Source organism: Homo sapiens, chromosome 5, assembly GCF_000001405.40.
Source record: "Homo sapiens chromosome 5, GRCh38.p14 Primary Assembly".
NCBI lineage: Eukaryota > Metazoa > Chordata > Mammalia > Primates > Hominidae > Homo > Homo sapiens.
In genome coordinates this window covers 143,002,748-143,018,164 of record NC_000005.10, presented here as the reverse complement: position 1 = coordinate 143,018,164, position 15,417 = coordinate 143,002,748, and the positions used below count along the sequence as shown (strand labels likewise).

At 41.2% G+C, this 15,417-nt stretch overlaps 1 protein-coding gene across 40 annotated transcripts in view, besides 1 other annotated feature; it reads right to left on the bottom strand.

The window, feature by feature from the left end:
* The window catches only part of ARHGAP26 (Rho GTPase activating protein 26), a 458,635-nt gene that overhangs the window by 210,847 nt on the left and 232,371 nt on the right, over window positions 1-15,417 (bottom strand). For 39 of the 40 annotated variants that reach the window (NR_146198.2, XR_007058592.1, XR_007058593.1 and 36 more), the window contains one exon: window positions 4,049-4,085. Coding sequence is in view for 37 of the 40 variants with exons in the window: in NM_015071.6 (NP_055886.1) it covers window positions 4,049-4,085 (37 nt within the window). In the remaining 3 variants the exon portion in view is untranslated. Of the gene's footprint in view, window positions 1-4,048; window positions 4,086-7,520; window positions 7,554-8,423; window positions 8,487-8,660; window positions 15,046-15,417 lie in introns of those variants that run through there. The other variant, XM_047416992.1, reaches the window with a different exon arrangement.
* Window positions 8,211-9,410: an enhancer, noted in NCBI's record as "P300/CBP strongly-dependent group 1 enhancer chr5:142388320-142389519 (GRCh37/hg19 assembly coordinates)". NCBI's record gives its function as "activates an origin of replication core promoter dependent on BRD2, BRD4, P300/CBP, MED14 and CDK7 cofactors, with strong dependence on P300/CBP, by STARR-seq in HCT116 cells {active_cell/tissue: HCT116}" and the evidence as "EXISTENCE:reporter gene assay evidence [ECO:0000049][PMID:35650434]".

Below are 15,417 nucleotides of genomic sequence, written 5' to 3'. Positions count from 1 at the left end.
CATGAATAGGCAATTAACAGAAGAGGAAACCCAGTAAACTAACAGGCCTATGAATAGATGCTCAAATTCATTAATTACCAGAGAAATGCAAATTAAAACAACAATGAACTATCATTTTACACCTATCAGACTGGCAAAAAATTAGAGAGCTGAATACTGGTGAGAGTTGGCAGGAATGGAGAAATTTGCATGTAGGGTTGGTGGGACTGCGGATCGACCACTCTGGAGAACAATACAAGAGAGTGCTTAAACTAAGTATATGCATAGCCTTTGTCCAGCAATGCTTTGGGTGGGTGTATCCCAGAGGAATTCTCACACAGGAAGATATGTACAAAGATGTCCATTGTGGTGGTGTGAGTACTGATGAGGAGTTGGAGGCATGAGAAGATGGAGTACATCTCTACAAAAACAGATACAAAGTGCTGTGTACCACAAATTATGCAGTAATCAGAAGCCACAGCATAAAAGGACACAGAGGAATACGAATGGCTCCTGACACAATGATGAGGGCACAAAGTAAGAAATAAAACAAGACCCAGAACCATTTATTAACACACACCATTTATCAAGAACACAGGAAGATAAAAGACACACATTTTAGAAAAAAGAACTAAAAGGGAATGGATGAATAAATAAAATGAAACGAAAGAATGAATGAATCAAGAAACCTGTGCTGATAATGTGCCATGAACAGGGGAGTGTGATGAATTCATCTCTCTAAACCTGAGATCCAAACAGAGCATAGAGAAGAGGAGAAGAAAAGGCTCTGCAAAGAAATGTACATATATTTATCAGCTGCCATCCTCTCCCTGGCAACTGGGTCATTTGGAAAATACCAGCAGCTGACAGACATTACTTATGGCCCTGTCTTATACTCCACAGGCACCGTATGCCCTGAGAGAAACTTCGAGATGAAAGCAAACGAATTCAGAAATTCCCTTTTGTTAACTGCTCCTTCAGAACATTCTGGCTCTCTGATAAAATGTTTGCATTGAAATTCCCACCAAAACATTTCCTAGAAAAGAAAATGCCGGACATTTGGAATTTGGACTCTAGACATTTGGAATCTGGTTAAGAAGAGCAGTGTCTCACTCTTAAATTCATATCAGATTGGCTTCATATCTTTAAAAGAGTTTAGATTGTGTCATAAACAGAAGGAGTGTTGCAGAACAATCAAGACCCAGAGCATTAGCGCCACCTGTGGTAGATGAGCCTTATGGGGGGTTTGCATTAAATTGTAAATTACTGCAATCAAGAGATACAGTAAAACAACCCCACCAAGGAGGGGAAGCTAAGAACCTGTACCATGTGGGAAAGGGTCCAAACTCAAAAAAGGGTGAGGAAGCACTAAACCAGACCATCACACTGGTTTGCCAGCTTAGAAATCAATCAATACCCTAAAAAAACAATTCCTATTTAAATGACTCCTGAAAAAGTGGCCAATTTTTTTTTTTTTTTTTTTGAGACAGAGTCTCAGTCTATTGCCCAGGATGGAGTGCAATAGCACGATCTTGGCTCACTGCAACCTCTGCCTCTCAGGTTCAAGCGATTCTCCTGCCTCAGCTTCCTGAGTAGCTGGCATTACAGGCGTGTGCCACCATGCCTGGCTAATTTTTGTATTTTTAGCAGAGACAGGGTTTCACCATGTTGGCCAGGCTGGTCTCTAACTCCTGACCTTGTGATCCGCCCGCCTCGGCCTCCCAAAGTGCTGGGATTACAGGCGTGAGCCACCGTGCTGGCAAAAGTGACCAATTTTTTTAACCCATCTTTTTACCTCCTGTGTGCTAGATGAAAGGGTAATGACTGAAGAATCATTAGACACCCAAGGCAAGCAACTCTCTTTGCTCTGTGAATAATGAGGTGCAAAAAGCAAAATGTCACAACTGCTTATATTTTCCAAAATAAAACTGTTTGTCTTATTCTTTTCTTGAGGGAGGTCAAGTAATGCATGTTATTATGTATGTTGTTCTATAGCCTAATTTTTTTAAAATTTCAATCATTAACAAACTATCAGCACAATTTCTGCAAATAGATCCAGCCCTCTCTGGTTCTTTCTAAAGGCTGTGTATTACTCCTTAATTTATTTAGCCAACTCCCTATTTGGTATTTAGATTGTCTCTCATTCTTTGCTATTATCACCAACGCCCCAACAAATTTATTTGTTGTACAAACTATCTTTGCACTCTAATGATTTCTTTAGGATAAGCCATTGGGGAGTTAGAGGGTGGTCACTTTTTTAAGGATTCCAAAGCATATCCTCGAAATGCCTTAAGAAATGTCAGAACCAGTTGGGATGCCCACCACTAGAACCATGGTTGTCCTTCAAATCTATTGGGATTTATCCCAAGTAGAGAGATGTAGGTTCATAAGGTCACAAGTTAAAAGTAAACTTCTGGCTGGTGTAGGGGGAGGTCTCCATTCACGTGCCTCTCCTCCCCCACCCCACCACTCTTGGGTCCTTTATTATGGAGGCAATGTGTCCCAGGCAGGGCCAGGTGTGAGTATCTGTTAGTGTAGCCTGCTTGGCATCCATCCCCTCTGGTCCTGATGGCTTCCCTGATTTCCCTCTGGGAAACTACTCTGTTCCCATTTTTTGCAGCAGTCTTGAAACTCTCAATCAAAATGTACAGTTTTTCCCTGGGTGGACCCAAATTAGACCAACTTGTTGCCTGGAAATCTCAATGTTCAGAAAGGTGAGGCAAGGACTACAAACAGTTTAGAGCTTTGTCGTATTATCCAGAAGACCCTTTCTCACCGGGTTCCTAGGTCTCCAGAACTCATCTATTCTCAAGCCTAGCTTTTCAGCTCCTCTGACCTTACTATGAGCTACCATACAGCCTTACATATTCCTTCATTATTGTTACTGTTGTTTTTGCCTCAGTTAGTCAGAGTTGACTTCAAGTGTTCTAAAACAATCTTACCTAATTAAGGGTGGGGTAGGGTGGAATTACTTCTTTGTTTCCTTGCATATTTACTTGAAATTTTTCCCTTGCTCATTTTATTTTTTTTGGAGGTGGAGGGGAACATTTTTTTTTCATCTCATAAAGGCCTCTCAACCTACCCACAGCAGGCATTCCAAATTATTTAATATTTCATACAAAACTCCTGGGTAAAAAATTATATTTTGAAGAGAAAGAAAGGGGGGGAAAAATCTCTGTCCTGTAATGGCTTTCACAAAAAAACAACTTCATCCTTTGGTCCACATGGAGAGGCACTGTTCTACTGATTTTCCTAACACAACTGGAATTCACAGTAGGGCAACCTTTAAATTTTTTCTCAAGTGGATTTTACAAAGCAAGGTGACAGGATTTCCTTTGTACTCTTGCAGCAACCTGGAAGGATTTTGTTTTTTCTCCTATACACCAAGGAGATAATCAGCCCAAACATTCTACCAGTTGCAGGTTCATTTTAATCCCATTGCCTTTACAAGGTTACAGGTACCCTTGGAAATCATGATTAACCAGAGTGCTTACAGGCAGCAGCAGGGCAAATGCACTACAGTCTACAGAGGCTGCCCAGGGACACTTCCATTAGAGAGGAATATTACCATAGAATTCATCTCCATTCTTTCCTCCCACAAGAGACCACAAAGAAAACAGTTACTAAGAAATCACCTAACATAGTTATTGCCTCTCCAGTCCTTTGAGCGAGACCGTGCTGGAGGCAACAGCAACTTTGGCTTTCCCACAGGATAAGGCTCTCCAGGAGTTGAGTATTGTTGTATTAAGTAACTTTTAAGTGGTGACGAGCTATAGTCTTAAGACCTACGATTAAAGGAGATAATGTACACGAGAATGCTTTGTAAAGTGTGACCCATTATTTCAATGCAAGGTGTCACTACACTACAGCCTTGCCAGCCAGGCTCACTTACCGTCCCTCTGGAGTCACTGGCGGAAAGTTGGGGTGGAGGCATGTCCCACTGCACTCGGGAACTGGAGCCAACCCAACACGCCCACAGCACCGCCTGGTGGTTCACACCTGGAGTAGCAACTTCTCAAAGCCTACTCCCAACCCTGGCTGTAGAAGGTTACCCAAGCATCGTACTTACTCCCTTCACTCTGGCTGTCTTTGTTCGAGTTGTAGACCTGGAAAATAAAAATAAAAATTCACTTATGTGCATTTTATGCCACCCTATAGGTTCACTGTAGAAAACCATTATCTTCCTCACTTTCCCTAGTTTGCACCATGAAGTGGAAGGTAATTTCTGGCTCCCAAACATGAACCCATTCAATAATTATCTACTTCTCAGTATTTACTTTAGCTGTTCTTAAGTGTGTGTGCATCAGAATCATCTGTGCAACTTTATTGTGTAAAAAAAAATTCCCTCTTTTTAAGAAAGCAAGTAAATGTATATGCGTACATAAATAGAAAAGAGAAAAAAATTAAAATTAGTTACAAATCATTAAGCATGAACTGCGCACCAGGCAATGTGCTAAGCATTTCACATGAATGATCTGAAATCATCAACATGACAATTCTGTTGGGCAGGAGCTGTTATTATCACTGTTTCACAGATGGAGAATATGAAGCCTAGAGGGGTTAACTAATGTCTCACAGCTAGTTAGTGGCAAAGTCAGGACCTTTACATCAAAAACTGTTGACTGTTAATACCGGGGAGTGGGAACTGTTACTTTTTACTCTACATACTTCTAGAAATTTGAATGTTATAAGGAGAATATATATTTTCCATAGAAACCCCTTAAATAATGTAAATCACAAAAAGGGAAAGTACCCCAATAAAGAAAAAGAAAATGCCCAATATAAAAGAGACAATGACATATTGCAAGGGTCAGCAAGTTTTTCCTGCAACGGGTCAGACATTAACATTTTATGCTTTGTGGGCCAAGAGGCAAAATCAATGACATTATGTAGGTACTTCTACAACAAGATAGAAAGTAAATTTTCATACATTTTTTGACAAAATTTAAAAACTAATAATATTTGAGTATGATTTTCTGAAATGCAAGCCTACTAATCAGAAGAATAAGTTTTTTTTAAGAGAGGTTGATATTTAGCTTAATTGGTACTCAAAGTTAGTATTCCTTATAAAGTCAATTATAGATATTTGTTTGTAAATATGATGCTTGGCTTATGGGCTCTACAAAAGAAGGTGGTGGGCTGGATTCAGTCTTTGGATCACAGTTTGCCCATCTCTGATATGCTGTCATAATTAAACAAGATGAAACCTCTACTTTAGAAAAGAAAAAAATCGGCCAGGCACAGTGGCTCATGCCTGGAATCCCAGCACTTTGGGAGGCCCAGGCGGGTGGATCATGAGGTCAGGAGATCGAGACCATCCTGGCTAACATGGTGAAACTCCGTCTCTACTAAAAAACACAAAAAATTAGCCAGGCATGGTGGCGGGCGCCTGTAGTCCCAGCTACTTGGGAGGCTGAGGCAGGAGAATGGCATGAACCCAGGAGGTCGAGCTTGCAGTGAGCCGAGATCACGCCACTGCACTTCAGCCTGGGCAACAGAGCAAGACTCCGTCTTAAATAAATAAATGAAAAAAAATCATAGAACCCAAGCCCTTCTTTGGTCATTAAGGTTCTGTAGGTATAGAAAGGCATAAGGTGAACCTGATCATAATATATATATATATATATATATATGTATGTATGTATATAAATATATCCCTCCAGTGACTCTAATGGCTACTCTCAGTTGAGAACCACTTATTTAACCCCTAAAGAAACCAAGGCAACTACCTCTGAAAAGAACCATTAAATCCAGAAAGGGATTTTTCACTTAAGAAATATGACGGAGAATGGCTGGTCAAGAGGTCCCACTTGGCCCTTCAGCTGCTTTGTGTCACTGGGTCTCTTAGCCTCTCTGGGCATCTATTGCCTCATCCATAAACTGAAGGAGTCGCCCAAGAAGGTCTTTGAATTATCAAGCTCTAAATATAACAAATCATCCCATTTTATTATTAATTTTCTAAAGAAAACTAAAGCTACCAGGCCACTTATTAAAGGTCAGAAAGATGAGTATAAAGAGAACAGGTTTCTGTACTTAAAGAGGATTGTCTAATGAATGAAAAGGCATCAATGCATATACCTAAACGCTCTAGAGATAAGGAGTCAAAAGATTTTGATCCTGGCCTGGGCTTCCCCATTGGTAACTTCATCTTGCTGAACTTTAATTTCTTCATCTATAAAATGTGGGCGATGATAGGTTTTTCTGACTAACTCAGCCAGAGCTGATGTGAACATCAAATGAGACTGTGCCAAAGAAATATACTGAAACAGCACAACACAATGCAAGCGCTTTGGACTCTACTACTGAGAAAAGAAATGCTTAACATTCATGGAATTTGAGGGGAGGGCAAAAGTCACCACGAAGTCTAGGTGGAGGCTGACATAGAGGTTGTGTAATTTCTACTTAAAAGAGGAAACACAGTGGCCCACTCTCCCTCAGCAGCATCTTTATCATCTATATAAATGAACTTGAGCTAGATCATGGTTTCCAAATTGAGCCACACAGCACCTGCACAAACAAAGGGGTTGGAGAGAAGCTAAGACCAAATGACCCCTCCCTTGGCTTTTATCCATTTTACTCATGTGGCTATTGAGGAAGGGCATAGCGGCTTTGAAAAGTTTGAAGACCTCCTAAATAATAATTTCCCATGTTGCTTGCAATTCGTTTACTTATCCATGTATTTAACAAATATTTACTGTGTGCTTATAATGGTCAGGCAACGTTCCAGGTGCTGGGGATACAGATGAACTAGACATCTGTAATCTCTGCTCTCATAAAACTTTCCAATTACTGAAGAAAACAGAAATAAACAGATGCACATTTATGATTACTTCAAATATTGATAAGTACATTGGAGAAAGTAAAAAAAAAAAAAAAAAAAAAGCGGGGGTTTATTGTGGACTTTAGGCGAGGAAATGCCTCTCGGAAGAGATGACGTTTGCGCCAGGCCTGAATGATGAGGGGTACCTCCTTGGGAAGACGTGGGGGCTAGTGCCAACAGAAAGTACAGGTCCTTGGAAGGTGAAAAGTCATTGCATTTGAAGGAAGAAGGCCAGTGTGATTAGCAATCAGTGCAATGCAGAGAGGGGTAGGAGATAAGGATAGGGCAGAGGGGCAGCAATCCGATCCTGCAGAGCCTTGTGACCTGTGAGTGAAATGGGTCACAGTGTAATAGCTAAGACCAGCAATCCATGCTGACCGGCATTCACTAACCTTGGAAAGTTGGGCAAGGGAAGTGCAGAAGAGAAGACCACACTTTGGCAAGTATTTTTCTTCAGCCATCCTTGATCCCTGCATTTCTCCTAGTAAATTCAAACATTCTATCCAAGGGAACCTTGCTTCTATTTATAGCTGGCAAAATCCAGAAGGAATAGTAAAATGCAGGACTTCCAGCCCTCCTTCATTAGGAGATGAATTTGTGCCAAATTACTCTCTTTCAAGGTTTCCTGGGTCTCGGGAGACCCCTTCCTGGAACACCCAAGCATTCCCTGAATTGGAGAAGGATAATCAATGAGTCAAAGGCACCAGAAACATGTACTCACCTGCTCCTCTGAGGCCAGGCTGTTAATCTCTGTCTGGTTTGGGTTAATGAGCCAAAGAGAATGAGTTTTGAAATGAAGCTAACAAATCCTGCTTACCAGGACTTTGTGACTACAGGGCCCAACAAAGAAGGCCCAGGGTGGGGAAGCAACCAGATGGTGGCTCAGTCACAGCACTAAGCAGGAATGGTTTTGTTTACCTAGCACTTACCAAGCACCACACATGGCAACATCTAATCCTTGCAACCACCATATGGATGAGGTCTAGTATTATTCACATTTTAGAGATATGGAACCTGAGACCCAGAGTGGTTACACAGTTTGTCTAAGGACACAGAGCTGGTCAGTGGTGTACTATTCTATCTTGCCTCTAAAAGGATGTTCCAATACCCTTTTACCTTTCTAGGCAGTGGCAAATGTATATCACTACCAAGTCACTCCAGTGGTTGGTATTATGGTTCATAAATACCTTCTATACTGACAGAAGCAAAGAGCATGCAATTCACCCTTTAGAAATGGTCAGTCTGCTCTGGGCTATCCTTCTTCTACAGATCTCACAGTTGCCCACTAGCATCAGACTGAGGTTCAGAGGCAAGAGCAATGTCCTGAAAGATCACTTTGACCATAGCTTTGTCTTATGATTAGCAATCTCAAATTTATATGCTTTCAGGTAAGCCTCTTGAGAGCATCTACCTTAATACAATAGAACTCAACTCTCCAGGAGCAACCCAAGCGGACAAGGGGCACTAAATGCCTGATCTGTGGCTCCTCAGAAGACTGAAACAGTTAATGCACCTTCAACAACCCAACTGAAGCTAAGCTCTATCTGAGTACTCTAAAACTTGGGAACATTATCTCCTTTGGGTTTCTATACTTTGATGTAGGTATAGTCTAGTTTCTACTGACCATTGTATATGAAGATTTGTTAAAGATCCGTGCCAACAAGTATCTATTTTCAAGTATATGCTTCTGAAGAAGAGAAATTACATGTGTTTACTTTATCTTATCACGGTCCATCTAAGAATCATTAAAGAATAATTATGACAGATAGAAATTAATAATGATGATGATGACAAAACCCCTGCCATGTGCCAGACATCATGCCAAGCATTCTGTGTGCATTGTCTTATTCGGTTCTCATACCAGCCTAATTATTCCTTTCACAGAGATGAGAAAACTGAGGCATTAGAGAAGTTAGGTCACATGGCCAAGGTCAGACAGCTGGAAATGGGCAGAGTCCAGACAGGAACTCCCACGGTCTGTCTCCAGAGCCCAAGCACTTAACCACTAACCACATGATCAATAAGTCATTGTGATGACGATGATGACAATGACGACGATGATGATGCTGACGATGATAAAGGTGAGATGTTGTGGGCAGCTGGGCAGGTGAATCACCGGAAGGAAGAACTTGCCCTGAGTCAGAAAGAAAATGAAACTGGGAACAGCCTTCTGATTCTAGCCTGGAGTATTTACCACCAACCCATGCAACCAGCTGGCATCTAGTATAGAAGTAACACTTCATATTCTCTCTGAACCACAGGGTTCGATCCTGACGATAAACACCAGGGGGGGAGAGTAGCTCTTTGATACAAATCACAGGGCACTGCAATTCTGAGTCCTTACCCAGAAGCTGCAATGAAAGTACAATTTAATAAATCAAAGGAGGGCGAGGAAAGCCTTCATATGCTTCCTCTGCACCAAGATGTGATTTTGCAATAAATTCTGTTCACTGCTGAGCCAGTTCAGTTTACATGTCCCTACAGAATTAACAGAGAATACACAGAGTCATCTGGATTCCCAGAATTTTTCTATGAGTACCTTTATTACCATTATCCAAGCCATACTGAGAAAACAGAGAGGCTTGTTTTTCAAATGTAGATATTAAAGACATAAGTAAAGCAAAAATTTGACAAAACAATCTAACTTTTCCCTTTCACACACAGCTGCATTAGAGCTTAGCCATACCACACTTTGGATCAAAATCTGGACAAAATAAAGATGCTGGGGAAATAGGTTCATAAGGAAATTTGTTTAAAACTGATGCTCCTCTCTAAACTGCACCATCTTTACCCAAATGCACATCCAAACTCTATGATCCCCTGAGGTTTTCTCCAAGTCTCCTCCCACCTGGCTGTTCCCCTGATGTACCAATGTGGAGACACACTGAATAAGGCAATGTGTCAACATCTTAAAACAACAGGCTGGTTCTACACCATCGAATATCATCTCATCTCCTCTGCATGACAAAGTGGGTCCACCATCACTAGAATCAAAACAGCTTGCTCTTTTGAATTGTGTCTGTCAGTGGCGACAGATTTGTAGTAATCTACTGCTTAGGTTCAAAGTCCAACTTTACTGTTTATTGGCTAACATGCACATCAGTTATCATCCCTAGACCTCAGTCTTGCCATCTGAAAAAGGGGGATAGTAACACTCTCCACCACTTAGGATTGTTGTAATAATTAAATGGAATCATAGATATACAATATTCAACACAGCACTGAATGTAAATTCTATGGCCTATTGAACATTCTATAAGGATTAACTTTCATCTTCATCACTGTCATTTTCCTCCTTCCTTCTCTTCCCACTTTGTGTTTAAAAAAACAAAACAAAAAGCCTCTTCTGGTGATGGAAATGTATCCCCTATGGGATAAATGGCTAAGGATGGGAAATGTCATTTGAGGGACCCTGTGGCATTGGTCTTGTTGGCAATGTAATATAACCAACTGAAACTAATTAAGAGATGAAGGGAAAGGAAAGGAGACAATCTAAGGTCAACGTTTAAATCAATGGTTCTTAATCTTTTTTAAAACAGCAATCAAACATAAAAATAGCCACCTGCCACCAACCACTTTTTCACTATCAATTATGTGCCAAACACCATACTAAGCGTTTAAACGAATGATTTTATTTCATCCTCAAGCCTATGGGGTACTACACCTGCCTCTATTTCATAGCATCATATGGGTTAATTAACTTTCCAAAGGTTACATACTAGCAAATTACAGAGCCAGGATTCGATTTAGGCAGAGCACAGTAGAGTCTGTACTCAGCCACAACTTCATACAACTTCTCCACCCAGTCCTGCTTTCCAGAGGAAAAACAGCCTGCCAATTAACAAAGAACTCAAAAGAGGCTAAGCAGTAATTAAAATGGCAACAATGCAACCATTATGTAATAACAAAATTTCCACCCAATTTAAGCATAACAGGAATTCTACAAACTTCCAATTAATACAAGTGTGGCAGTAATTAAAAACCACAACCAGCTTGAGACATTTTAGGATGCCCAAAAAACAACCCTCCTAAAACCTATCAGCACATACAGAGAGAACTGGCCAGGGTTGCCAAAGACTCTGTGGCAGATTTCTCAGTTGAACACATTAGAATGCTCGGCAAACACTAATACAGGCTAAATTTAGGAACTTTTTTTTTTTTTTTTTTTTTTCGGAGACAGAGTCTTGCTGTCAACCAGGCTGGAGTGCAGTGGTGCGATCTCGGCTCACTGCAACTTCTGCCTCCTGGGTTCAAGCGATTCACCTGTCTCCTGAGCAGCTGGGACTACAGGCCACACCTGGCTAATTTTTTGTATTTTAGTAGAGATGGGGTTTCACCGAACTCCTGAGCTCAGGCAATCCACCCGCCTCGGCCTCCCAAAGTGCTAGGATTACAGGCATGAGCCACTGTGCCCAGGCTTAGGAACTTTTAATAACACCCCTGAGAAGTTACTGTAAGACACCCTTAGTCTGTGGAATGCCACCCATGAATGGACATGATTTTTCTAGATCAGGACTTCTCTTTTCACCCATGGGCCACAGGCCACACTTGGAAAAGCTTTTGGGAAGGAATTGTTTGAATCTGAAGCATGAATAGCCTGGAGTAAATAAGGATGTGTCTCAACTCAAGGGGTCAGAGCCAGGGAGCCAGCTATTGGTTCTTCCTCCTCCTCCCATCAGAAATGTGACTCTCATCACCATGGTCTGAGTGGTGAAATGTGCTCAGTGGAGCAAAAATAAGATGGCTGTTGCTACTTTTCTGTTTCTCAGCTGACAATACTCTGCCAGGCTTTCCCTTTCCACTGCTACCACTGTTGTACTTGCTGTCTTAGGGAGGCTCCCTCAAATGTGAAACCAATAAAAATATAGTTGATGGCACTTCCCAAAGACCGATTCCTGAACCAATGTCAAGACCTTGCTCTTACCCTGTAGAATTATACATAAAGGGGGTTCAGTAACTAGCACATAGCCAGCCACTCAGAAAGTACTGATTGGATAAATAGAGAGCATAAGAGAGAAACTGCAATTAAAAAAAAAAAAAAAAAAAAAAGAAAAAACACTAAAGGTGGAGTTGGTGAGGACAATGCATTGGCCAGACAGAAAAGGAAAGCTAGATGTGTGCTCAGGTGTCCAGGTGACCGCTTTGTTCTCCCCAACACCTGGCAAATTCTCTATGAATCTTTCTTACAAGGGAGTGGAAACAGACAATTCAGGCCTTCCTAAGAGAAAACAGGATACAGATTTATCTTATTTGGCTTAACTCAAGGCTATCAAAATCCCTCACATAGCCATTTATTTTCTATGTTCCACCCCTGTGTGTTAGCTCTACATCCACCAGGTGACAACGAATGCTTCTAATAGTTTTGAAGCCTATGGTACCACTGGGGAGTTCTGAAATAAGGGCTAAGAAAGGGGTTCTGTACCTGTTGGTGCCGAGTCCCTTCCCCTACACAATCAGAGGCATCTCAAGACTAGGCAGTCTCTTAGAAAATGGCCCAATAAAAAGTGACCAAATGGCTGTGCTCCTACAGCCATCCAAAAGACAGAGTCTTTTAACAGCCCCGGAAGCGTTCTTGCTGGTGAATAAAAACTGCTGCTTGCTGTTCAAAACATGATTACAACAATGATGATGAATAGAAAAATAAACTTTCTTTTCCATTAGTTCAAGCATTGCCTGTTGCTTTGTACCTTGTGGATATAAGCAACTTATCTCTTAGTATTATTCCTCAGTAACATTGGGGGAAAAAAGTGCTCTGGACACCCGTGAATACTACTGTTCAACATCCATGCACCTCTTTTTCCAGGGATACCACCCTCATTTTCCTTGGGGAGCCACCTCCCTGCCAAGGCAAGTTCATATGGTTTGGGTGGGGCTGATCCCAACTCCATCTTCAGGTTTGTTGCATGTGATCCAGACTATGCATCCTACTGCACATATGATTGGCCCAAGCCAAACTCAGCCGATGACACTCACTCATTTTTTATTACAACTATGGGAAATGAGGCCTTGTGTTGCTAGGAAAACAGGATGCATACCTGAAGCTTTTGAGGCCAACTTCGGCTACCACACAGGCAAAGCCTTGAGCAGAAAAGGTCAAACAAAGAAATGCAGGGCCATGAATGAAGGGACATGGGATTCTGATGGTATCATTTGAGCCCTTTTATCTTAACATATCAGAAGCTCATCCCTGCTCTTTCTATAGTATATCAATAACATACTTTTTATTTTTTAGTTGTGTTTCTGTTGCTCACAGACAAGGGTTGTGGTAATTTTTTTTTTAAGTGCATGACAGAAAAGCCTACTTGTGCTTTATAGGGAACTCTAGAGTGAAGGAGAAAAATGTGCAACAAAGTTGAACGAGAAACTGTGCTGTCATCCTTGAATTTCCCATTCCTTCTACCTCACATATCCAATCAGTTCCTAGTTGTATCACTTCTATTACTTTCATATGTCTTGAACCTATTCCTCATCCCCACTTCTTCTTCTATTGCCCAAGGTCAGATTGTTTTTGCCTTCTCACCTAGACCTTGACATTGGCTATATCCTGGTTCTTGTTGGCTCCACCCTCTGGCTCTGCTCACTTGCTCTGCAAGATGTGTTTCCCTAAACCACAGTGTTGGTTGGAGAAGAGAAGGCTTCAAAACATCACAATACCAGTCTTCAGATTCTCAAAGGGCAGTGATGTGACAAAGGGGAAATCTTATTGTGCTGAACAGAGATGAAGGTCAGGGTGGAGTCCCCAGGAAGGCAGATTTCAGCCGAACATAAATGACTGACAGGAGCTCTTCATGGTCCACTAAAGCAGGAGGCTGACCCAGCATCCTCTTACACACAGACCTAAGCCCCCTTCTGTCTAGAAGGCATCCCGGGCATTCCTGGGCTGATTAATTTCGCTGCATTTGGGGTTTAATCATTGTCAGCCTAACCCTTTCACTGGTATAGGCCCTGGACAGATTCCAAAACAGGGAGAAATGGATTTGGATGAAGTTGAGTCAAGTGGTGGATGGAGCATGCTGTGGCTTTGGAAACTTGGCATTAAGGTCTGTGTTAAAGCAAACTAAATATGGCCTGAGAAGGACTCCATGCTCCTATATCTGAGTCCTTGTGGACTAACTGTAACCTAACTTAATAGGTAGACAAGGTTGAAAACCTAACTTAGGAAAATTTACCTATAACAACAGCTGAGTCTTGGCCAATCCCAGCAGCCATACCTCAACCACTTATACACTGATGAGTGTTCAAACTATGTTCAAATAAGGCAAACACCAAGCTGTAACCAATCCAGTTGTTTTTGTACCTTACTTCTGATTTCCGTACGTCACTTTCCTTTTTTTTTTTTTTTTTTTTTGTCTATAAATTTGTTCTGACCACGAGGCATCCCTGGAGTCTCTCTGAATGTGTGGTGATTCTGGGGGCTGCCCAATTCGCAAATTGTTCATAGCTCAATTAAACTCCTTTAAATTTAATCTGGATGAAGTTTTTATTTTGTCACCTGGTTCTACCACTTTTGAACTATGCGCCCTTAGATAATCATTCAACATTTCCGAGTCTGCTTTCTCATTGCAAAGTAGAGCTAAGTAATAATACTTATGAGAGTATTAACAGAATTTAAAATAGTTATCACAGGGACTGGAGGTGCTCAAAAACGTTATTTCCCTTTTCCTTACTCCACAAATATTTCCTAACTTACTTGATGGCTGCAGACAACCTTAATCTCTCGTTTCTTTGATCTCTTACTGCTCCTACAGTCTATATTCTACAGAATTTAATACTTCCAAATAAAATTTTTCATTCTTATCATTTCCAATCTCCAATCAAGGTTAATTTTACATTTCTATGGGGCAGGGTTTAGGGGAAGTGATCTATGCGGCATCTAAATGTTTGCATATATTCAGTGTCCAAGAAATTATTCCTCATTAAAGGACAAGGGGCTTAAGGATGCGCATTCCTTCGTCTGGGTCTTTCTCTGCAGGTCAGAGGCAGGTCATGATGACCTTGATGAGCAAATTATCCTTATGGCAATGCTTTCACATTTTGAGTGTCACTGGCACTTACCGCAGTTCTCTGTGAGAAATTTCAAATTAAGCTGATATAGTTTCAAGAGAAAAGGTGAAACAGCTCCTCCTGGAGCATGTAGGTGGTAGGTCACACCCCAATAACCAGTGAAGGAGTAGGCCATTTATTTTAACTTGTTTTTGGTTCTGGTGAATTAGGCACAGGCTAACTGTTCTGGGATTATTAACACTGATTGTTGTGGGTGCTTCTCCTCCGCTACCCCGTGACTTTGATTTGTGTGTTACATAAACACTGTTGCCATAGTTATAATTCAGGAAGCTTTGTTGTTTGACCTTAAGAAAAATTCAACCTCAAATCAGGATAACACTGACTCTCTAGACCACAATAGACCATCAGAGGGTAGGATCTGCCAAATTTCTTCAAGCTTCTAGAAGGAACTACTGTATTTTGGGTAACAAGCAAGCAACAAGAGGAGGAAATGCTGCAATGTTATGCAATTTCCTTGCATTTCATATTCAGCAATCCTGAAAACCTTTATAAGCAACTTCCCTAGCTTTCAACCGAAGATTGGAGTCACAGCCAACATAAACAAAAACTGGATG